The sequence below is a fragment of the Homo sapiens genome, chromosome 2 (genome assembly GCF_000001405.40).
Source record: "Homo sapiens chromosome 2, GRCh38.p14 Primary Assembly".
NCBI lineage: Eukaryota > Metazoa > Chordata > Mammalia > Primates > Hominidae > Homo > Homo sapiens.
In genome coordinates, this window is record NC_000002.12 from 196,066,158 (window position 1) to 196,091,846 (window position 25,689).

Sequence of the window (25,689 nt, forward strand, 5' to 3'; positions counted from 1 at the left end):
ACCTGGGATAGCCCAAGTATTAACCCTCCTGATCAAATGACTAGAATCTATAAATGTGTCTGGTTAAATCAACAATAACCTCTCAAAATTTCATAGTACTGATTTAAATATAGTTGTCAGTTGTCACACGTTTGAGTTCTGGTTGTTAAAGTTATCACCATGCTGTTGGTCTCATATCCAACTTTTTTCATTCTTTCCCCTTTTTAAGCAATGACATTTCAAAAACATGATGAAGGAAAATGGAATGAGCATCACATCATATAAACACAAATTACTTGATTCCATAACTAGAAAAAGTGCTGGGGTAGAAAAAGACTGACAGCTTTTTCCTCTTCTCTGCCCACAATCTGTAGTATATCTGTGGGGAGCTTCCTGGTCTTCGGATATTTGTGCCTTTAAACCTCTCAAAGTTTTTCAACTGATACTAAAAATGCCTTTTAAAGTTTTAACTCATTTTAAAAATGAAATGAGCAATTGCAAAAGATTTACATTTCTTCTAAATGCCTAATTTAAGAGAAAAGCCCAGACTGCTATTCCTGAAAAATTCCATGTCACTCTCAACCTTCCACTAATGAGATGAATATGTTAAAATCTCCTTCAGCAAATACGATTTTACCACCTGCTCACTTTCTCAAACTGAATGAATATACAAGTAAATGTCACATAAAAAATGGCATTTCCAGAAGTTTAATCCATTCTGTTTGTTTTAGGTTAAAACATAAAAACTTTCATCCTTCCAAAGGAAAGCTACACTCTAAATTAGCATAAATGAAATTCTCAAGATTAGTTTTTAAATTACAAATCAACCAAAACAGTGATAGAGGGCCCTCTGCTGTTCAAAAATAGTAAGTGGAAAATGGAAATCATGTCCATTCTTTTAAGATCCCGCTGCCTCTTCAATAAATCACAACCTTTCTGGAGGGGGAGTGAGAGACTAGGGTGTCATTTCCCAACATCACTTTTATAAAGATGAAGCAAAATTTAGAACTTAACGGCTGGTGGGTTTTTTGTGGATACTTTTTAGTTGTAGATGGGTAAGTTAGGGGAATTGTGAAAAACAGCTATTGAGAAATACCATTGGAAATGTGGTAAAAGTGTATTTTAAACTCTAACAACGTAGGATATGGTTCAAGATCTGGCCGAAGACTAACTTGGGCAACAAGCAAAGAAGCTGCTCAATATATAATAATGGTGACAGTAACAAATGTTATTTTTTAAATCTGATTACATTAATATCATGTAGAAAAAAACTAGTAAGATCTATTAAACAATTGCTCAGTGTTTTTGGTTACTTGTATCTGAACTTTTTGTTTTTTGCTTGTCATTTACTCTTTTATTATTAATACCAATACTAATTATACTTTAGCATATGAATCAGTGTCCATTTCTTAGTTCTTAAATTATACTTATTTTTTTAAAAAGGTTCAAACCAAATTTTCTTGAGCATTTCAGGTATTAATTACTTATTTGATGAACTAACCAATCAGGATCTTCACATAGTTCTGTTAGTAATGTACAACTCAATGGATAGGAGACTAAATCCGTTTTAATACTGTTTCCACAATAAATTCTAACACTACCGAAAAAAGCATTATAAAGCAATAAAAAAGAAATAATTACCGTTTAATATTGTTTAAAAGCTAAATGAAATTTGCAGGCTTAAAAACAACTGTTTTTCTTCCAGGAGGTTTATAGAGTCCTTTTCCTTATTCATCACTACGTAGAAAGCTAGAGTTATTTTCTAGCTAGCCAGAATAATGACCACGTTTAATATCTTCCCATTCTGTGCTGATATTAAGACGACTGACCATTGTTCTGCCTTTCTGTTAGTTGCTCTTAAGTTCAATAAAGAAAGAATTCTTAGAAGAAAAAGGAGAGAAAGACAGAAAGGAAAAAAACGAGAAAAAAAGAGAAAGAAAAGCAGCTATTGCAAAGTGCATCTTTTATCACATACCATGGAATATCATCTTAAGAAGTGCCATATGTCACTTACCAAGGCCTTTCATGTATAGTATAATATTGTATAGTTATGGTATGGCATGGTATCTAATTTGAAATTGACAACAACCTCAAAAAGAAGAAAAGTTGTTCTGATGTTTCCCCCGCTCTGCATAAGAGGTGGGAGAACTAAGGCTTACAAAGACTAAGAGATTTGTCCAAAGTCACATGGCTAGGAGTTGGCTTCGATTCCCACCTTAGAACCCAAACCCGCTGCAACTCCTCGCAGAGCCGCCTCTCACCCAAGCACACCGCCATTAGCACTCTGGGGGTGCTCTGGGCTGTGGCTCCCCCTGCTGGCGCGCCGCTAGGCGGCTAGGTTTGGTTGTTATGACGACCAAGGGCAAACAGCTGGGAAGGGAACTTATAAGGGCATTCACGGAAAGCGCTCAGTAACCCAGGCCACAAGTGGGGTGAAGGAAGCTGTACACCGCGGAGTCACAGCTGGGGAGTTCGCTAGGCAGGAGGGGCTTCCACCACTTCCGAAACGCCTGGGAAGCGTCGCGGCGGCGGCGAGCCTGGCAAAGAGCAGCCCTCTCACCTGCTCACTGCTCATGGCTGCGAGGACGCGCTGGCCTCACCGGTGCTTCTGGGTTGCTCCTGCCCGCGGAACCCCTAGGACGATAGAGGCAGGGCCCCGGGACTTGCAGCGGTCTCAGCTCCCTCCGCACCAGAGCCGTCTAGCGTCCGGGCAGCGTTTGTTGCTAAGCAACGGGCCCGCGCAGGTTCCATTTCCGGTCATCTGTTCCTTCTGGGGCTGGACCCGGAAGCTGGCGCGCGGTCCCGCAAGAGGAGCTTTCTGGGGCGCTGCTGCCAGTGTTGTGAGGTCTAAGGTGTGCGTTGAATAACCAAAGACACTGGGTGGGTCTCCTCCAATATCCTCTGATTACTGAAGTAGATCCTCACACTTCCGCACCCTCCTTCTAAATAAGCCGGATGCCCAGGACTGCTGCCTTAACCCCTCAGAGGTCTCGGAGAAACACTGGAATGAAATGATTACAGATTTCATTGCTAATGTGGGCGAGTGGAGTAATGCGAGGCAGGATCCAGTAAACACCTTTCATTATTCATGTGCTTCCAACCCCTGTGCTGTTGACTCTTCCCACACTCCAGAAAACTATCCTTTGGAAGAATACCAGTAAAGGAACCTTCCAACAATTCTTGAAACCAACATTCACAGATGGTTTACTACATGAAAAGTGGTGTGCTAAGCACAAATGTGACCAAGACATCCATTCGCCACAGGCTGGGGGGTGTCCAAGCCAAGCACTTACCGTGTAGTGGAGACGGTGCTAAGAATGGCAGTCCTCAGTGAGAACATAAAGCACCAACTAATTTTCTCATGGAGGGCATGGAAGGGATGTGGAAGCTGAAATGTGAAGGAAGAAGAAATGCCAGGCAAAGAATGCCGGGCAAAAAGCAGGTCACATACAAAGGCCTGAGACAAGAGAGCATAGCTATTGGAAGCAGTGAAAATGGTTCTGAGAGGTCGATGAGTAGGTTTGGATAAAGGGGATTGGAGCCAGTCTAGAGAAGAAGCTGAGGTGATAAGCAGGTGATATATCTTAAAGGACCCTATAAAAGGGCAGGAGTTTGGATGTCAAAAGCAACTGACCTCCACTGAAAAGTTTTATGCTAAGAAATGGCAGAATTCCATCCTGAAATTAACAAGGAACCCCAAGGGGTCATAAATAGCCAAAACAATCTTGAAATTAAAGAACAAAGTTGGAGTACTCACACTTCTTGATTTCAGAACTTACTACAAGACTATAGTGACCTTAACAATTTATTTTCAACAAATGATGCTGGGGAAACTAAATGTCCATATGCGGAAAAAAATGCAGTTGGACCTTTACCTAAAAACATCATATACAAAATTATCTCAAAATTGATCAAAGATGTAACTGTAAGGTCTTAAACTATAAAACTCTTAGAAGAAAACTTAGAAGAATCGCTTCACGACATTGGATTTGGCAGTGATTTCTTGGACATGACACCAAAACGACAAGGAAAAAATAGACAATTCGGCTGCATCAGAATAAAAAACCTTTGTGCATCAAAGAATACTCTCATCAGTAAAAAGACAATCCACACAGGCCGGGTGTGTTGGCTTACGCTTGTAATCCCAGCACTTTGGGAGGCCGAGGCAGGCAGATCACGAGGTCAGGAGATCGAGACCATCCCGCCTAACATGGTGAAACCCTGTCTCTACTAAAAACACACACAGAAAATTAGCCGGGTGTGGTGGTGGGCACCTGTAGTCCCAACTACTCGGGAGGCTGAGGCAGGAGAATGGCATGAACCCAGGAGGCGGAGGTTGCAGTGAGCCGACATCACACCACTGCACTCCAGCCTGGGCGACACAGTGATACTCCGTCTCAAAAAAAAAAAAAAAAAAGTCCACAGAATGGAAGGAGATATTTGCAAATCTGATGAGGGATTAATGTACAGAATATTAACAAGTGTTAATGAGGATGTAGAGAAATTGGAACTCTTGTGCACCACTGGTGGGAATGTAAAATGGTGCAGCTGGTATGGAAAACAGTATGGCAGTTCCTCCAAAAATTAAAATAGAAATATATTATGATCCAACAATTCCACTTCTGGTACAAACCTAAAGAAGTGAAAGCTGGGACACAAACATACATACATATATATATACATATATGTATATATATGCTCATATTTATAGCAGCATTATTCACAATAGTCAAAAGGTGAAGCAACCCAAATGTCCCTTGATAGACAAATGCATAAACAAAATGTAGCATATACATTCAGCCTTTTAAAAAGGAAGGAAATTCTGATACATTGCTACATCTGCTGCAACATGGATAAACCTTGAAGACATTATAACTGAAATTAGCCAGTCACAAAAGAAAGAAATACTGTATGATTCCACTCATCTGAAATACATAGAGTAACCAAATGTATATAGAAAGAAATTAGAATGGTGGTTGCCAGGGACTGGGAGAGGGAGGGCCAAGAAAGGGAATGAGGAATTAATGTTTAATGGGTACAGAGTTTCAATTATGCAAGATGAAAAAAAATTTGAAGACGAACGATGGTGATGGTTGCACCACAATGTGAATGGACTTCATGCCACTGAATCGTACACTTGACAATGGTTAGAATGATAAATTTTATGTTATATATGTTTTACCATAATTTTAGAAATTTGTTTTAAATATCCTTAAAGTAAGAGGAGGAAAACTGAAACCAAAAAATAAAGAAGGAAAAATGACAAGATCATATTCCCATTTTACAGAAATCACCCTAATTTCAGCATGGTAGAGGGATAGTAGGTAGGTGGGACTGGCAGTAACAGAGAAACCTGTTAGAAGACTATTACAAGAGTACAGTGAGGGATGAGGATGGCTGGAACTGAGCCAATGACAGTAGGAATGGAGTGGACACATTCAAGAGATATGTGGGAGATGACTTAAGATGTGGATGTTTAAAGGTAAAAGGTTGAGGATCATTTTACTGCTTTGGATACCTGAATGGATGGTGGTATCGTTCACTGAGTAAGAAAAAGGAGGAGAATAAACAGGCTTTACAGAGAAAGTGATAAGTCCAGCATTGGGCAGATTGAGTGTGAGATATCTATAGGACATGGAAGTGTGTATGTGGCTGGTAGACACTGCACATATTGGTCAGAGCTCAGAAGATAATTCCTGGGCTAAGGACATGGATCTGAGGCTTACATATAAATGACATCTGAATCCATGAGCATACATGAAATGGTTCAAGGAGTATGTAGGGACAGAACGGAAAGGAACCTAGTAAAGAAAAAACTAAAACCTAAACACTACCAATCTTTATGAATTGGATAGAGGGGGATCCTGCAAAGAAAATCGAGAAAAAGTAGCTAGATATAACAGGGAACTCAGAATATAGAATCATAGAAACAAAGAAAAACAATATTTCAGGAAAAAGAATATAGAGAACAGTATCAAAAGCTTCTGACAATATGTAATCTAAGGATTTAAAAGTATCCATTGGATAGAGTGCCAAGGAAGTCATTGGTGAACATGGCAAAGGAGTTTCAGTACAATGCAGTGGGAGGATTTGGGGCCAGATTCCAGAGGCTGAAGAGTGAAAGGAGGGAGACTGCCAGAATAGACAATCTTCAGAAAGTTTAGGTTATGAATAAGAGAGATAGACTGGGGACTGAATGGATTCAGGGAGAGAGGCACTATATTTTTTCAAATAGGAAAGTTTTGTTTGTGTTTAAATGCAAATAGGAAAGGAGAAGATGAAGATAGAGGAAAAAGTAAAAGGAGATAGGATTAATTTCAGATGGAGAGATCTTATAAGCACGCCTTGTAAAAGGAAGAAGAAGGAAGGATGAGTGGAAATGTGGGTGTTTAAAGCTTGCTTGTGTGTAGTTGGGGACATCCCCCCCCAAAAAAAATGAATTTTATTTTTTCTGTGGTATAGAAAGCAAAATCACCTTTCAAGAACGAGAAGAAAGGTAGGAGGCAGGGGATGGTCAAAAATTTGAGGAGGAAGAAGTTTCAATGACTATGTGGCAGAAATGGAGAGAGAACAAAAGTGATTAAAGAAATAGAGGAAAAGCTCAGCTGAAGTTGAAGCCTCTGAATCAGCGCCAGCCACTATCCACTTGGCTCTGCACCACTCTCCAAAGGTCTTCAACAGACCAGACTTAGGTTCAGAGAAGACAAACACACAGTGTCTTTCCCAGGCTGGTATAACAGGAGAACAGAGCATGAGAATAGAGAATCTGATAAGAGTGAAGTTGAAATAAAAAATCACAGAAACTAAAATAATGAGTAGAGGAAGAAAGGACTGTTAACTGTGGAGAAAGGGAATGGGATGGAGAGGGTCTCAGAAAGGGTGACATAGTGAGAGAAACTAACTCTCAAAACACAAAGTGAAGCAGTGAGGGTATTGTCTCTGTGATTTCAGAAGTAGAGCTATTCCAGGTGTTGAGAATGTCCCCAGTGTGGCCACAGAAGTGGGGACTGAAGTAAAGGACTTTGCCATGGAAGGTCAAGGAACTAAGTTCCTCAAGCTATGGCTGTTCGCATGGATGCTGAAGTAGCATAGCGTAGGGGAGAACTGTGAGCCGATGTCTTCAACGAATGAAGCTGAGTCAAGGAGAGGAGATGCTATGAGCCTAAGATTAGTAAGAATTCATAGTGGAAAACAGAAGATAAATGTTGCAGACCCCATATCCCAAACTTGGAAGAATGGAAAAGCCTAAACAGAAATAGGCTTGAGGGAGAGACAAATTTCATTAAAGACCTGGAGATAAGAATAGAGTTCTCAGAATGGGTTGAAGATGTAGTTTTGTTTCATAGCCTAAGGGTACAGTGATAAGCGTTGAAAGTCAGTAAAGTACTAGGGGGTTCAGTCAGCCAATTAGAAGCAAAAAGCACTTAAGAAAAAAAAGATTGCCTCAAGGGTTTACTCCACAGGCAATAACCAACAGATATAAAGGTGTACTACGTTTAGCAGCTGCCAACCTGATGCCAAAAGAACTAGTCCCAGCAGTTCCGAGGTGTTTAGAAGGAGTTTCAGATTCTTGGCAAAAGTTCAAGGTTAACTGGATTGCTTCATGGAGGGTCATAGTCCACATGAGCAGGCCAGGAGACACTGAGGGATTCACAGCAACAGCATGAGACACAGATGAGCCTAAAAACATTAGCCATCCACCTTCCACTCTTTACCATCTGCCAGCTTTCCTTCTTCAATCCTCTGCTATCTCACTGTCCATTCACCTTCAATCTCAAAAGCCATCGTTGAAATCTACAAACATCAGGCTATTCTGACTTGCTACATTGCCTCCACTAGGCCACCATATATAGCTGGAGTCAACCTCTATTTTCAGGTCAACCCTGGAGTCAACCTCTGATTTGCAGAATCCTGTTTCTAAATTTGTCTTTGGGTGGGTATCTTGCCAGAATTATGGAAGGAAAGTAATTTTTTAAAAATTGGCAAGGACAATTCCTTTGTATTTGTCAGTTATCGTGATCCCTGTCAAGCAAGAGGAATGTGGCTTTCAGCACTGACTTCTTAGAGTAATTCTCACAATAATCAGTAATGTCACCAATTATACTGAATGCTGAGATGGGAGAAATAAGCTAGCTAATCTCTGTCCCCACTGTTCAGGTTAAGACCAGCGCAAAATCCTGATAAGAATCAATACAGTTCTCAAAATATTCTGAATGAAGTTTTTGTTTAGACATGTTGGACCACTGTATCTCACAAATTATAAAAAGGAACTTTATCAATCTTGTCATTTGTCTCTTGAAAGATCCTCTTTTGCACTTAGTGCTTGATTTGGGTAAAGCTGTCTGTATGCTTTTGGTTTACTAATCTATAAATATGGAAGTCCATTTTAAAAGAAGGTATCTGGGGACTAAAACTGGTTCCTCCATTTAACCAAATATGAAAGACCAAATAAAGAAAAGAAATTGAATTACTGATATTTTGGTTCCCTGAGCTTGAACTTCAGTTACATTTATGATCTTGTGTTTTCTCTTATGGTTTGGATGTTTTTTGCTAAAATGATTTTATTAGACATGAACCAAATGTTTGCTTAGGAATTTTATGCCCAAACTTGTGCTGATTCTAAGGGAATTTTTTACAAGACTATGTTTTTTTTTTCCCTTAAAATATATTGTGTAAGCTTATGCAGCTGCTGAGTTCTGACTTTTTATGTTGTTATTTGTTACTACTTTTTTTTTTTTTTTTTTACCTCCTGCTTTTGAAACTGTAGCATGTGTGGAAGGAAGCAAGGAGTGCTAGAGCTTATTTTACATCCTCCTTTGAGGCAGTGTGGCAGCTTTTTTGTTACCTTAGGATGGAGTATAAGATTGGGAAAATCAAATGTACAACTTAAAACAGAGTCCAGAATCTGGTTTGTTGTTGTTGTTTTGCCATGCTTCTCTCTTTGTGAACTGATACTTGTACTCATTATCCTCATCTTGCTCAGTCAACAAATATTTCCTACCTGCAGTAGGCCAGACACCATTCTAGGCATGAGAGATACAGAGAGCAGCCAAGATCCCAGTTTCTGTTCTAGGAAAGAGAAATGGAAAATTAGTGAGAAAAAAATAAGTAAATTAATAAATGAATAATTTGAGTTGGTAAAAAGTCCAAAAAGAAAATGAAACAAGGTAATGGGAGAGACTGTCATCAATGAACACATCTTCCAGGAGACATTTGAGCTGGGATCTGAATGACCAAAATGAGCCAGCCATTCAAATACTTTGGAAATGAGTTTCCCAGGAAGTAAAGAGCAGCTAGATCACAGGTCCAAGTAGGGGAATGAGTTTGAAATGTCCAAAGGCCTGAAGAAGGCCAGGACCATAGTGAGGAAGGATGTTATTTTAATTACATGGAGAAATCATAAACGCAAACAGGGCAAGAGGGGTAGGAGGAAAGCCAATTAGGAGCCTACTGGAATAGGCCCGGGAAATACCAATGGTGGCTTAAACTAGAAGGAGGCAAAATTAGAAAGATGGAGAGAAGAGGACAAATCAGGGATATATTTTGGAAGAAAATCTGCTAGGACTTGCTAGAATAGATGTAAGGGATGATGATAAGGTAAAATTACTCCTAGGGTTATTTTTTTTTGCCTGAACCTCTTGGTGGATGGTTGTGCCTTAAAATGAGGAAGGCCAGGAAGCAGAAAGACATGTTGGAAGGTGAAAGAAAATTTAAAACTCATCTGGGTGTGTTGGCTCATGCCTGTAATCCCAGCACTTTGGGAGGCCTTGACCAGTGGATCACCTGAGGTCAGGAGTTCCAGACCAGCCTGGCCAACATGCTGCAAAAATTAGCTGAGTGTCATGGTGTAAGCCTGTAAATCCCAGCTACTTGGGAGGCTGAGGCATGAGAATCGCTTGAATCCAGGAGGCAGAGTTTGCAGTGAGCCGAGGTCGCCTCAGTGTACTCCAGCCTGTGCAACAGAGCAAGACTGTCAAAAAAAGGAAAGGAAAGGAGAGAGGAAGGGAGGCGAGGGGAGAAGGGAGGGAAAGGGGGAGGGGGAAAGGAAGTGGAAAGAAGGGAAGGAAGGAAGGAAATTAAATTTAAAATTCAGTTTTTTTTAGTGGTGATTTCTGAGATTTTAGTACACCTGTCACCTAAGAAATGTACACTGTACCCAATATGTAGTCTTTTATCCTTCACCCCCTCCCACCTTGAGTCCCCAAAGTCCATTATATCATTCTTATGCCTTTGTGTCCTCATAGCTCAGGTCCCACTTATAAGTGACAACATACAGTATTTGGTTTTCCATTCCTGAGTTACTTCACTTAGAATAATGGCCTCCAGACCCATCCAAGTTGCTGCAAAAGACATTATTTTATTCCTTTTTTATGGCTGAGTAGCACTCATGGTGTATATATACCACATCTTCTTTATCCACTCATTGGTTGATAGGTACTTATGTTGGTTCCATATTATTGCAACTGTGAATTGTACTGCTATAAACATGGGTGTGCATGTGTCTTTTTTATATAATGACTTTTTTTCCTTTGGGTAGATACCCAGTAGTGGGATTGCTAGATGGAATGGTAGTTCTGTTACCAGGGATGCTGCCTTGGGATGGATCCTTTAACCGAGATCAACAGAGCTGGAGCTCTGGACCAGCAATCTCAGTTCTTGTGATAGTGAGCAAAGAAATGCAAACTAACAGCAAAGTGCAAGCTCAAAGCAAAGTTCATTAAGGCACAGTAATACACTCTCAAAGGGAGAGTGGGCCAACTTCTACGAAGTGAAATCAGCCACTCTTTGCAGAGCTCAGGATGCTTTTATGGGAGGAGTTGAGGCCTGGGCTGTGTTTGAGTGACAGGATGATGTCATTTGATTGGCAGTTTATAGTTACATAGCTGAAGTTAAACTGAGCATGTTTTTACCGATCTTTCGTTAAGAAAAGCCCACTCAGAGGGGCAAAACCACAAGTAAATTTTACTATAATGACTGTATAATAAGGATGGGGTTCCCCAGGGTTATGGCCTAGATCAAGCTTGTCCAAATGTGGCCCAGGACAGCTTTGAATGTGGCCCAACACAAATTTGTAAGCTTTATTAAAACATTATGAGATTTTTTGCAATTTTTCTCTTTTTTCTTTTTTTTTGCTCATCAGCTATTGTTAGTGTTAGTGTATTTTATGCATGGCCCAAGATGATTCTTTCAATGTGGCCCAGGGAAGCCAAAAGCTTGGAAAACCCCTGGCCTAGATGGACGGGGCATGTGTCACATTAGGAAATTTTTATCTGTGCCCCAGTTTTTCTTTCCCCAGGATGTGCTGGCCACAGACTTTATCACAAATTCTGTCCATTAGGGTGGAGCTATGGTGATTTGGGGGCTGAATTTAGGTGGGCCAGGGCCTGTCTTAGTGACAGCCCTTCTGCTTTCTTCTCTCACCCCCTCCGAGCTGCTAATGTCTACCTAACTACCTAACAGCTCTACTTTTAGCTCTTTAAGGAATCTCCATACTGTTTTCCATAATGGTTGTACTAATTTACATTCCCACAAGCAGTGTAAAACTGTTCCCTTTTCACCACATCCACACCAACATCTATTGTTTTTTGACTTTTTAATTATGGCCATTCTTGTAGGAGTAAGGTGGTATCTCATTGTGGTTTTAATTTGCATTTCCCTGATGGTTAGGGATGTGGAGCATTTTTTCACATGTTTATTGGCTGTATCTCTTCTTTTGAGAACTGTCTATTCATATTCTTTGCCCACTTTTTGGTGGGATTATTTCTTAAAAACTCAGTTTTAAGCATGTTAAGTTTCAGTTGCCTAGTAGGCATCCAGTTGAGATGCTGAAGAGGCAGGAAACCATCCTGGTCTGGGTGCAGCTCCTGTCAGGGTATAGATTCAAAGTTCATCTAAATATAGACGGTCATTGAAGTCATGAGATTAGATGAGATCATCAAACGAGATAGAATAAATAAAAAAAAGAAAGAAAGATGGTTTAAGGACCAAGCCCTGGGGGCTGTTGTTTTCTCTTTCTGGAAACTTGAAATTTAAAAATAACATATTTTGTCAACATATTTTATCATATTTTATCAAAGAATTATGCAAGCACAAAGTTAGAGTTATAATAGATAACTGAGATATAAAAGAACCCTACAAAATGTGGTTGACAGTTCATGCGTGTGGTATTTGTTTGTGAAAACCCTGAGCTATGTATGGACCAATTCCCATGAAAACAAATAATGATGTTGCTTTATTACCACACATTGACCTTCAGCTAATCACAACCAGACCTGAAAAACACAAATGATTGCATTAGTTTCTTTGAACACTAGAGGGAGATAAAGTCACCTGTAAATCAGGAAAATAGAAAAATCCTTTTTTCCTACAGAACTACTCTTACCACAGAATCATAGAATATTTTAAAGTTTGATTATTTTTACAATCATCAAGAAATACAGTCATGTATTATAAAACTGGAACAAGCCAGGCACGGTGGGTCACTCCTGTAATCCCAGCACTTTGGGAGGCCAAGGCGGGCAGATCACCTGAGCTCAGGAGTTGGAGACCAGCCTGGGCAACATGGTGAGATCCTGTCTCTACAAAAAATACAAAACTTAGCCAGGCATGGTGGCAAGCACCTGTAGTCTCAGCTACTGGGAGGCTGGGGTGGGAAGATTGCTTAGGCTCAGGAGATTGAGGCTGTAGGCTGTAGTGAGCTGTGATCATGCCACTGCACTCCAGCCTGGGCAACCGAAGGAGACCCTGTCTCCAAAACAAAAAACACTGGAACAAATTACATATGTTTAGAAAGTAGCCTGACATATTTTTTAAATCAGGTTTTGCTAAAAGGCTTTTATATATGCTAATAATGTACTATATTTTCAGGTGATACCTTAGTCATTTTTCCCTTGGGCAATGCAAAGCAACAACATATAAACCAGCTAATTTTTATTTGAAGAAACAACTCTTCCTCCCTTGGAATTCCAGTAATAGGCTTACTGTAAGTCAAGTGTCCAAAGAATTGCCTCTCAACCTTATGTCTGTGGACTTTGAGAATGTGCTGTACTTCATCACGTTCCATGTTTTTCAGGTGGCTTAAAGGTCATGGGCACAGAGTTCATTCTGGACTTTTTATTTGCCCAATAAAATGCTTTTTGACTTTGCTAAGTAATCACATAGATATGTAGTGTTTTCATGATTGCTTGGGGCAACTAGAAAACTTTCTCTTTATTTACTTTGGTAATCTTTCTTAAAACATGCTAAAAAAAAAAAAAAAAGTCCTTTTTTCCAATCAAAGATTGAGTGTGAGCCCTATCCAACTGTTCCTACCCTACCGAATACTTTATTTGACCTTGTAACTAGCTTAATAAGTTCTCTTTTCCATAACCTCAACACTAAAGTGCTTCTGATAATTAAAGAGAAAAAAATATATTTTCTATCTCTAGGGGAGGATTATGGTGTAGGAAAAGAGACTGTTTTCTGGAATTAGAGTTGGTATAAATCCTGACTTTGTCTCTACTGGTTGGTGAAAGTGAAGAAGTTACTTTGCATCTGTAAACGACCATTTTCTTTTCTCTAAATTGGAATTGCAACCTTTTAGAATTGTTGTGAGCATTAATTCAGAGAATTATGAAAAGCAGCTAGCTTAGTTCCTAGCACAAAGCAGATATTCCAACTTCCCTGTGCCTTCCTCTTTCCTTCTATCTGAAATGCTTTATATTTTAAAATGGTTTTATAAATCATATGTTCATAGATTATGTGTTCTGAAGTATTTGTCAAGTGCTGGTGATAAGTGCAGAATGTGACCTGGGTCACATTTATAAGGCAGACTTGCAAAAGTACACGTGGTCAGAGCTGTATGGCCCTGTGCTCTACACAACTCTACACCACTAGGCCAGGTATAGAATCTCACCAAGGTCCTACACGGTCCATGATCAGCTACTCCTGAATATGGGCTTGGAAGAAGGGAGAGGAGAGGGAGGCCACTGCAAGTCAGGCAAGGGCTGTAGTCCCAGAAGAGAATAACTTCCCTTTTCCCTCCGTAAATGTAAATTCTACCTCCCCACCCCCATAAAGGTGCAGTTCAAATCCTCCTTTCCCCAAAAGACATTCCCAGCCTAACTGAAATCACCTTTACAAACACCTATAACATTTATCCAATTCAATCATCTGACAACACATTCTTTTCATTTCTACTTAATCATTTCATTTACCTGTATCTCTCTAACTAGGTAGGTTTTTAAAGCAGAAGTCATGCCCTATTTCATAGCTTTTCATTTTAGCACATTTCACAATGCTCCACTTGAAGCAGACGTTCAACACATACTTGAATGTATCTCCAGGTCAGTTTTCCTTCAATTTATTTTGTTGCATGCAGTTTGATAACAGAACTCATCAAGGGTATAAGTGTATAGATACAGATTGAATCATTTTGCTGATAGCATCTGAAAATTACCTTTTTCCTTAAAATTGTAGATTATTAAAAAGAAATAACTAAAATATATAACATATTAGGCTTCTATTTGTGTGGTTTACTCTGGTACTCATGCCATAGTTTTGTTTGTTTCACCATCCAGATCAAGGCCATGGTTTTTGCCGAGTTTCACTTTCAATTGGAACAGATTACAGTTGCCATGAAGTAATGGCCATCACCTACGATATAATGTAGCAAAGAGTATATGATAAATATTCATCACCAGTAGATCATTTTTCTTTGAAAATCCCTTAGTCAAATCTTATTATTGGTCATGAAATGTATGCATGATAATTTGACATCTGTAAATATAACTCCATTTTTATGATACAAAGAACTGAAGCAGAAACTGAAGTTTTATTATTTATCATTCAAACTGCAGAATAAAAGGGTGCTGAAGCTGGAATTTGAATGTTCCTCAATGTCATGAAGGATAAAAAATCAAACATGAAATGGATGATCTGTTTTCTGAGTGTCAAACTATAACACAAAAAAGTAGTAACCCTGGCTGGCCATGGTAGCCCATGCCTGTAATCCCAGCACTTTGGGAGGCCAAGGCAAGTGGGTCACTTGAGGTCAGGAGTTCAAGACCAGCTTGGCCAACATGGTAAAACTCCATCTCTACTAAAAATACAACAATTAGCCAGGCATGGTGGTGTGTGTCTGTAGTCCCAGCTACTCAGGAGGCTGAGGCAGGAGAATGGCTTGAACCCAGGAGGCAGAGGTTTCAGTGAGCCAAGATCACGCCACTGCACTCCAGACTGAGCAACTGAATGAGACTGTCTCAAGAAAAAAAAGAAAAGTAATAATCCTAAATTCTTACCGCTTGTTAGCAGCTCTGTGACCCACTTGCAGTGTGACTCCACTTTACAGTGGGCCCAGTTTTTCCCTAAGGAGCACCTAGGCAAGGTTGCATGTTCTTCAAGAAGACAATACAGGACTATACTTTCAAATAGTAAAAATTATAATGAAACAACATTATTTTCAAAATAATTGCCTGGTAATATATTTTCAAAAGAATACTCAGGTAATGAGATCTTAGATCACTGTAGTCTCAAACTCCTAAGTTCAAGCCATCCTCGCACATCAGCCTCCTGAGTAGTTGGGATTACAGATGTGCACCACCACACCAGGCTATGGCTACAAGTTTAAAATAAAAAATACATGCAGAAAAGAATATGGAAATAGACTCCTTCCCTTCTGCTTTTAATCATTCATGAGTTTCTTAGCTGCTAAAATATATGTTGAATAGACTTTTTTTTTTCTAATTCTACATCATTTTCTCCTTCCTTTCAAATCCCAAATCCTCAAATGAGTGGTCATTACCCACTTAGAATCTATTTCCCCACCATTTGATCTCTTTGGAAACCCTCTATAATCCAGCTTCTATTTCCACAGTCCGTTGAAATACACTTAATATTATTAATGTCCTTGACCCCCTTCTAATTTTTCTTAACTACTATTCAGAAGCTGATGTTGTCACCTCCTTCTTAAAATTACTCCTTTCTGGTCATTACTGTCTAGCCTCATTCCCCTAGTTCTCTCACACTTCCTTTTCTGGCTCTTCTTCCATTGCTGTTCCTCCTTTTCCAGATATCCCTTAAAGGCCTGGGGGAACTCTCTCCCTTCAGTTCTCAGCCAAGTGCTCATCTACTCTCAAAGTTTCATTTCTCACCTTGATGCTTATGGCTCCTGAGTTTGTGTTCCCTGCTGTGTTCTCTCTCACTTGGATGCCTTTCTTTTGTGTCCAATTACCTCCATGACTTTTCCCTCTAATTACTGTCCAAAACTACAGGTCTAAGACTGCTCTTTCCTCCCCACTTTTTTAATTTCACCTTCAGCCTCACCAGTATTCTAAGTTCAATATCTTGGGTTCATCTTGGTTTTTCTCTCTGTTCTTCAAATTCTACTCCAGTCATGATATGGTTTGGCTCTGTGTCCCCACCCAAATCTCATCTTGAATTGTACTCCCATAATTTTCACGTATTCTGGGAGGGAGCTGGTGGGAGATGATTTGAGTCATGGGAGCAGTTTCCCCATACTGTTCTCATGGTAGTGAATAAGTCTCACAAGATCTGATGGGTTTATCAGGGATTTCTACTTTTGCATCTTCCTCATTTTCCTCCTGCCGCCACCATGTAAGAAGTGTCTTTAGCCTCCCACCATGATTCTGAGGCCTCCCCAGCCATGTGGAACAGTAAGTCTAATTAAACCCCTTTTTCTTCCCAGTCCCGGGTATGTCTTTAATCCACAGTGTGAAAACAGACTAATACAGTAAACTGGTACCTAGAGTGAGTTGTTGCCAAAAAGATACCCGAAATGTGGAAGCAACTTTGGAGCTGGGTAACAGGCAGAGGCTGGAACAGTTTGGAGGGCTCAGAAAGACAGGAAAATTGGTAAAGTTTGGAACCTCCTAGAGATTTGTTGAATGACTATTACAAAAATGCTGATAGTGATATGAACAATAAGGTCCAGGCTGAGTTGGTCTCAGATGGAGTTGAAGAAGTTTTGGGAACTGGAGCAAAGGTGATCCTTGTTATGTTTTAGCAAAGAGACTCGTGGCATTTTGCCCTGCCCTACAGATTTGTGGAATTTTGAACTTGAAAGAGATGATTTAGGGTATTGGGCAAAGAAATTTCTAAACAGCAAAGCATTCAAAAGGTGACTTGGGTGCTGTTAAAAACATTCCATTTTAAAATGGAAACGGAGCATAAAAGTTCAGAAAATTTGCAGCCTGATGATACAGTAGAAAAGAAAAATGCATTTTTTGAAAAGAAATTCAAGCAGACTGCAGAAATTTGTGTAAGTAACAAGGAGTCAAATGTTAATCCCCAAGACAAGGGAGAAATTGTCTCCAGGACATGTCATAAGTCTCCATGGCAGCCCCTCCCACCACAGACCCAGAAGTCTAAGAGGAAAAAATGGTTTTGGGCTGGGCCCAGGGTCCCCATGCTGTCTGCAGCCTAGAAACTTGGTTCCCTGTGTTCCAGCTGCTCCAGCTGTTGCTAAAAGGGGCCAAGGTACAGCTCGGCCTATGGTTTCAGACAGTGCAAGCCCCAAACCTTGGCAGCTTCCACATGGTGTTGAGCCTGCGGGTGTACAGAAGTCAAAAATTGAGGCTTGGGAACCTCCACCCAGATTTCAGATGACTGGAAACGTCTGGATGCCCAGATAGAAGTTTGCTGCAGGGGTGGAGCCCTCAGGGGAACCTCTGCTAGGGCAGCATGGAAGGGAAATGTGGGATCAGAGCCCCCCCACACACAGAGTTCCTACTGGGGCACCACCTAGTGGAGCTATGAGAAGAGGGCCACCATCCTCCAGACCCCAGAATGGTAGGTCCACCAACAACGTGCACTGTATGCCTGGAAAAGCTGCAGACACTCAACATCAGCCCGTGAAAGCAGCCAGGAGTGGGGCTTTACCCTGCAAAGCCACAGAGGTGGACTGCTCAAGACTATGAGAACCCACCTCTTGCATCAGTGTGACCTGGATGTGAGACCTGGAGTTAAAGGAGATCATTTTGGAGCTTTAAAATTTTACTGCCCTGCTGGATTTTGGACCTGCATGGGCCCTGTAACCCCTTTGTTTTGTTCAATTTCTCCCATTTAGAATGCCTGTATTTACCCAATACCTGTACCCCCATTTATCTAGGAAGTATCTTGCTTTTGATTTTACAGGCTCATAGGCAGAAGGGACGTGCCTTGTCTCAGATGAGACTTTGGACTGTGGACTTTTGGGTTAATGCCAAAATGAGTTAAGACTTTGGGGGACTGTTGGGAAGGCATGATTGGTTTTGAAATGTGAGAACATGAGATTTGAGGGGGCAGTGACAGAATGATATGGTTTGGCTCTGTGTCCCCACCCAAATCTCATCTTGAATTCCACTCCCATAATTCCCATGTATTGTGGGAGGGACCTGGTGGGAGATAATTTGAATCATGGCGGTGGTTTCTCCCATAATGTTCCTGTGGTAGTAAATAAGTCTCACGAGATCTGATGGTTTTATCAGGGGTTTCTGCTTTTGCATCTTCCTCATTTTTCTCTTTCTGCTGCCATTTAAGAAGTCCTTTTCACCTCCTGCCATGATTCTGAAGCCTCCCGAACCATGCGGAACTGCAAGTCCTATTAAACTCTTTTACTTCACAGTCCTGAATATGTCTTTATCAGCAACATGAAAAAACAGACTAATACAAGTCATTAGTTCCTGATACTACTTTTTCATAGAAATGTCTTACAGATCATCCTTTCTTTCTAGTCCTATGTCACTTTTTAAATGTAGGCTCTGGACGCCTAGATAATTGTATGGGTCTTTGTCTCTTTTTTTTTTGTCCCCAGTCTATCCAATATACAGATTTAAATGCAGAAAACGTTAATATAATACAGAATGACTCCATCTCGGGTTTGCTGTGATCAAACCCCGTCTCGGAAGACTATCCATCAAGTCCTTCCTTGTCACCAACCAAGCTTTATCTCCCACAAACCTCTTCTATATGCACTCTCTGTATTACTTATCATAGAATCACTCCTCAGATTTTGATCCTCCACATTTTGACTGAATTTATTTTATTTATTTTATTTTTTTTTCGAGACAGAGTCTCACTCTGTTACACAGGCTGGAATGCAGTAGCATGATCTTGGCTCACTGCAACCTCCACTTCCCGGGTTCAAGTGATTCTCCTGCCTCAGCATCCCTAGTAGCTGGGACTAGAGGCACCTGCCATGACACCAAGCTAATTTTTGTATTTTTAGTAGAGATGGGTTTCACCATGTTGGCCAGGCTGGTCTTGAACTCCTGACCTTAAGGGATCTGCCCACCTCGGCCTCCCAAAGTGCTGGGATTATAGGCATGAACCACCACACCCAGGCGGCTGAGTTTACTTTTACTTTTCCTCTGTATTTTTCTTTGTCTAATTTTATCACAACCCAACTTAAAGGCACTCCGTCTATTAAGCTTTTACTCAAACATCCAACAAAGATCTATTCTTTTTTAACAAGAATTCACACAGTATAACCCTCTAATGTAATGTATTAACCATTACAGTTTGCATGGATGCTACTCTCCTTTTCCTTTTATTGTTTTCTTTTTCCATTTTTACTTATTCTTTAAGTTCTAGTTCAAAGATCATCTTCTGTACAAGGTCTTCTCTCATCATCCCAGGCACTAGAGACCCCCAAATGTGCCTGGCATAGTTTTAGACATGTAATTGAAAAGATGTAAAAATCTTCCAATTGTTCTATTTTTTTTTTTAAGAATGACCTCAATGAAACTAATTGCCTTCTCAGACCCAAAGGGTACATACATAAATTAATAGGGAAAGATAATATTTTTCTAGGTTAAGCCATTGGTATTATTATTAGAAGCAATAAATAGAAATGAACTCCCAGAGCTATTCTGTTTTCAGTGGAATTAAGCAATAGCTTATCTCTATAGCCTGAGATACTATCACTATCATCTATGTAATAATCATTAATTTTGTGTTTATAACCATTTTTCTAATTACAAAAATAATGAATTGATACTGTAACAATGGATATAGTTCAATATACATTTGTCAAAACCATAGAATGTACAACACAAAGTGTAAACCTTAATGTAAGCTACAGACTTTAGTTAATAATGTATCAATATTTGCTCATTACTGTAACAACTATATGACACTAATACTAGTATTATTGATAATGGAATCTGGGGTGGGGGAAGTGAAGGGGAATATGGGAACTCTCTGTACTTTCCACTTAATTTTTCTGTAAACCTAAAACTGTTCAAAAGATAAAATATATTAAAAATAATAACATGTTTATAAAATTTGGGTGATCATGATATGCCAGTATAGGTTGATCAGTTGTAACAAACATGCAACTCTGTGGGCAGTGTTGATAATTGGGAGCCATGCCTGCGGGTGGGAGGAGGTGGTGGTGCATATGGAAGTCTGTGTACCCATCTGCTCAATTTTGCTGTAAAGCTAAAACTCCTCTTAAAATAATAAAGTCTAACAAACATTTTTAAGCAATGTACAAACCTAAAAAAATGTTTATTGTAGAAAATGCATAATGGTATACAAAAAAGCAAAAAGAAGAAAGTAAAAATTACCTTTAAGCCTACTTTCTCTATTACTGGATGATACCACATCCATTACTAATGTGTGACTTGTTATTTCTATATAATAATATCGTAACTATTTTCTCTGTCATTAAATGCTATCTTCCAACGAAATATTTAATAATCATATGCTTTAAACTTCTTTATCTTGATGTAAATAAAATTTCTAAGCTTTCCTTTGACTTGAACTTCTGCAGCCTGAATAAACTCATTTTGTTTTCGTTTTCCTTTTCCCCCAAGACAGGCTTCTCACTCTGCCGCTCAGGCTGCAGTGCAGTGGTGTGATCATAGCTCATTGCAACCTCGACTTCCTGGGCTCAAGTGATTCTCCGACCTCCACCTCCTGAGTAGCTGGGATCACAGGCATGTGCCACCATGCCCAGCTAATATTTTTATTTTTTGTAGAGATGAGGTCTCCCTGTATTGCCCGGGCTGGTCTCTAACTCCTGACCTTAAGCAATTCTCCTGCCTTAGTCTCCCAAAATGCTGAGATTACAGGTGTGAGCCACCATGGCAGGCCTAAACTCATTTCTTTTACTACTTTTGAAACCAACATCATTTTTTTCTTGGTACTTACTTCTGAGATCTTAATATTGCTTTCTCAGGATGCTTTAGAACAAGTAATGTACAATATCTTCTGACTTTCTATATCATAGTTTCTTCACACAGTTCTTCACATAGTTCTTCACACAGAATTCTTTTTCTTGTACTAGGGTTTCTCTTCTGAACACATTAGATTATTAGCCACGAATAGTTTTTTTGTTGTTGTTGTTTTGTTTGTTTGTTTGTTTTTGAGACGGAGTCTCACTTTGTTGCCCAGGCTGGAGTGCAATGGCACGATCTCGGCTCACTGCAACCTCCACTTCCTGGGTTCAAGCAATTCTCCTGCCTCAGCCTCCCGAGTAGCTGGGACTACAGTCGCATGCCACCACACCTGGCTAATTTTTGTATTTTTAGTAGAGACAAGGTTTCACCATATTGGTCAGGTGGTCTCGAACTCCTGACCTCAGGTGATCCCCCTGCCTCGGCCTCCCAAAGTGTTGGGATTGCAGGTGTGAGCCACTGCACCCAGCCAGGTGGTAAGTTCTTTTTTTTTTCTCCACAAACGGTTTTAAAATTTAAAGCAGCATGCATTCTGTTATATAGCACATTGATGATTAATAAGAACATATATCAAAGTATTCCCACAACTCTAAGATATTTTTCCACCTGATGCATAATTTCCATAACATATGATATGTTCCTGGCTTTACTACTTGGATTTATTTAAGCCAGATTCCTGGGGTTGGAGGCTGGCTAGAAATAGCACTATACAGATTCTGTCTGTAAGAACATCATACAGCATACCTGAAGAGATACACATGGATTGAAGTGGTCCAAGTGATGGGCCAAAAGTATCCATTAGTTCTGGCTTGTATTGTTACTGAGAAGTGTCAATCTAAAAGGAAAAAACTGAGGACAAATTAATAAAGAGTTTATTTAAGCCAAGTTTGAGCACTGCAACCCAGGAGCCTAGGGATTCAAGTTGCTCAAATATATGCTCTGGTTAGCAGCAGTTACAGCAATTACAAGTGGTTATATATATATATATATTTTTTAGAGACAAGGTCTGGCTCTGTGCCCAGACTGAAGTACAGTGGTGCAATCATAGCTCACTGCAGCCTTGACCTCATGGGCTCAAGTGATCCCTGTGCCTCAGCCTCCTGAGTAGTTAGGACAACAGGCACAAACATGCCACCATGCCCAGTCGGGAAAAAAATACCTTTAAACAGTCATGCCTGCACATGGATGCAGGAAGGGATTGAGGTGTGTGGCTGAAGTCCCATACTCCTGTCTCTCTGGGCCTGACGAATTGTGCACACCTCACAGAGCTCAGACTGCTCTGAGCTGTATTTCTTTTCTCAGAAGTCAGCAATTATTCTTGATATTGTTTACCTCTACGTAATGTGCCTTTTTTCTGGTTGCTTTTAATATTTTCTCTTTATCATCGACTTTTAGCAGTTTGATTATAAGATGATGCAGTTTTGTGTTCATCTTGCTTCATATTCATCAATTTTATTACATTATATTTTTCATTCAATTTGGAAAATATTGGACCAATATTTCTTTAAATGTTTCTCTGCTCCAATCTGTTCCTTCTCCTTCCTCCTGATTATCTATCTATCATATATATATATATATATATATATATATATATATAGAGAGAGAGAGAGAGAGAGAGAGAGAGAGAGAGAGAGACTTCATATGTTTCATGGGTCGCTGAGGCTTCATTCACTTTTTTTTCAATCTTTCCCTTCTCTGCTTCAGTTTTCCATAGTTCTTGTGGCCTGTCTTCAAGTTTTTGCTTCAGTAATGGTAAACCTATCTTGTGATATTTTCATTTTATATGCCATATTTTTCAGTATTATAATTTCTATTTGCTTCTTTTTTTAAAGATTTCATTTCTCTGTTGAAATACTCTGTTTTCTCAATATGTTCATGTTTTTCTTTAAATATTTGAATATCTTGAGGTTCCAAGATGGCCGAATAGGAACAGCTCCAGTCTGCAGCTCCCAGCATGAGCGACACAGAAGACAAGTGATTTCTGCATTTCCAACTGAGGTACTGGGTTCATCTCACTGGGGCTTGTCAGACAGTGGGTGCAGCCCACGGAGCAGGGCGGGACATCGCCTCACCTGAGAAGCACAAGGGGTTAGGGAATTCCCTTTCCTAGCAAAGGGAAGCCGTGACAGATGGTACCTGGAAAATTGGGACACTCTCACCCGAATACTGCACTTTTCCAATGGCCTTAGCACACCAGGAGATTATATCCCGTGCATGGCTTGGAGGGTCCCACACCCACAGAGCCTCACTCATTGCTAGCACAGCAGTCTGAGATAAAACTGCAAGGCAGCAGCAAGGCTGGGGGAGGGGTGTCCACCATTGCTGAGGCTTGAGTAGGTAAACAAAAGCTGCCAGGAAGCTCGAACTGGGTGGAGCCCACCACAGCTCAAGGAGACCTGCCTGCCTCTGTGGACTCCACCTCTGGGGGCAGGGCATAGCTGAACAAAAGGCAGCAGAAACTTCTGCAGACTTAAACGTCCCTGTCTGATACCTTTGAAGAGAGTAGTGGTTCTCCCAGCATGGAGTCTGAGATCTGAGAACGGACAGACTGCCTCCTCAAGTGGGTCCCTGACCCCCAAGTAGCCTAACTGGGAGACACCTCCCAGTAGGGGCCGACTGATACCTCATACAGCCGGGTGCCCCTCTGTGATGAAGCTTCCAGAGGAAGGATCAGGCAGCAACATCTGCCGTTCTGCAGTATTTGCTGTTGTGCAGCCTCCGCTGGTGATACCCAGGCAAATAGGGTCTGGAGTGGACCTCCAGCAAACTCCAACAGACCTGCAGCTGAGGGTCCTGACTGTTAGAAGGAAAACTAACAAACAGAAAGGACATCCACACCAAAACCCCATCTGTACATCACCATCATCAAAGACCAAAGGTAGATAAAACCACAAAGATGGGGAGAAACTAGAGCAGAAAAGCTGAAAATTCTAAAAATCAGAGCACCTCTTCTCCTCCAAAGGAACACAGCTCCTCACCAGCAATGGAACAAAGCTGGATGGAGAATGACTTTGATGAGTTGAGAGAAGACAGCTTCAGACAATCGATAATAACAAACTTCTCTGAGCTAAAGGAGGATGTTCGAACCCATCGCAAAGAAGCTAAAAACCTTGGAAAAAAGATTAGATGAATAGCTAACTAGAATAACCAGTGTAGAGAACTCCTTAAATGACCTGATGGAGCTGAAAACCATGGCACGAGAACTACGTGATGCATGCACAAGCCTCAGTAGCTGATTTGATCAAGTGGAAGAAAGGGTATCAGTGATTCAAGATCAAATGAATGAAATGAAGCAAGAAGAGAAGTTTAGACAAAAAAGAGTAAAAAGAAATGAACAAAGCCTCCAAGAATTATGGGACTATGTGAAAAAACCAAATCTACGTCAGATTGGTGTACCTGAAAGTGACAGGGAGAATGGAACCAAGTTGGAAAACACTCTTCAGGATATTATCCAGGAGAACTTCCCCAACCTAGTGAGGCAGGCAACATTCAAATTCAGGAAATACAGAGAACACCACAAAGATACTCCTCAAAAAGAGCAACTCCAAGACACATAATTGTCAGATACACCAAAGTTGAAATGAAGGAAACAATGTTAAGGGCAGCCAGAGAGAAAGGTTGGGTTACCCACAAAGGGAAGCCCATCAGACTAACAGTGGATCCCTCGGCAGAAACTCTACAAGCCAGAAGAGCGTAGGGGCCAATATTCAACATTCTTAAAGAAAGAATTTTAAACCCAGAATTTCATATCCAGCCAAACTAAGCTTCATAAGTGAAGGAAAAATAAAATCCTTTACAGAAAAACAAATGCTGAGAGATTTTATCATCACCAGGCCTGCCCTAAAAGAGCTCCTGAAGGAAGCACTAAACATGGAAAGGAACAACCGGTACCAGCCACTGCAAAAACATGCCAAATTGTAAAGACCATTGATGCTAGGAAGAAACTGCATCAACTAACAAGGAAAATAACCAGCTAACATCATAATGACAGGATCAAATTCACACATAACAATATTAACCTTAAATGTAAATGGGCTAAATGCTCCAATTAAAAGACATAGACTGGCAAATTGGATAAAGAGTCAAGACCCATCAGTGTGCTGTATTCAGGAAACCCATCTCATGTGCAGAGACACACATAGGCTCAAAATAAAGGGATGGAGGAAGATTTACCAAGCAAATGGAAAACAAAACAAAACAAAAAAGCAGGGATTGCAATCCTAGTCTCTGATAAAACAGACTTTAAACCAACAAAGATCAGAAGAGACAAAGAAGGCCATTACATAATGGTAAAGGGATCAATTCAACAAGAAGAGCTAACTATCCTAAATATATATGCACCCAATACAGGAGCACCAAGATTCATAAAGCAAGTCCTTAGAGACCTACAACGAGACTTAGACTCCCACACAATACTAATGGGAGACTTTAACACCCCACTGTCAACATTAGACAGATCAACGAGACAGAAAGTTAACAAGGATATCCAGGAATTGAACTCAGCTCTGCACCAAGCGGACCTAATAGACATCTACAGAACTCTCCACCCCAG

At 40.3% G+C, this 25,689-nt stretch overlaps 1 protein-coding gene across 10 annotated transcripts in view, besides 3 other annotated features; it reads right to left on the reverse strand.

Annotated features, from left to right (window-relative positions):
- DNAH7 (dynein axonemal heavy chain 7) overlaps positions 1-2,680 on the reverse strand; it is a 331,135-nt gene extending 328,455 nt beyond the window's left edge. For all 10 annotated transcript variants that reach the window (XR_922968.4, XM_011511488.4, XM_017004504.3 and 7 more), the window contains exon 1: positions 2,540-2,680. Coding sequence is in view for 9 of the 10 variants with exons in the window: in XM_011511488.4 (XP_011509790.1) it covers positions 2,540-2,554 (15 nt within the window). In the remaining variant the exon portion in view is untranslated. The remainder of the gene's footprint in view (positions 1-2,539) is intronic.
- Positions 1,972-2,021: an enhancer, noted in NCBI's record as "active region_16890". NCBI's record gives its function as "activates an Ori minimal core promoter by ATAC-STARR-seq in GM12878 lymphoblastoid cells {active_cell/tissue: GM12878}" and the evidence as "EXISTENCE:reporter gene assay evidence [ECO:0000049][PMID:35858748]".
- Positions 2,502-2,591: an enhancer, noted in NCBI's record as "active region_16891". NCBI's record gives its function as "activates an Ori minimal core promoter by ATAC-STARR-seq in GM12878 lymphoblastoid cells {active_cell/tissue: GM12878}" and the evidence as "EXISTENCE:reporter gene assay evidence [ECO:0000049][PMID:35858748]".
- Positions 21,113-21,192: an enhancer, noted in NCBI's record as "active region_16892". NCBI's record gives its function as "activates an Ori minimal core promoter by ATAC-STARR-seq in GM12878 lymphoblastoid cells {active_cell/tissue: GM12878}" and the evidence as "EXISTENCE:reporter gene assay evidence [ECO:0000049][PMID:35858748]".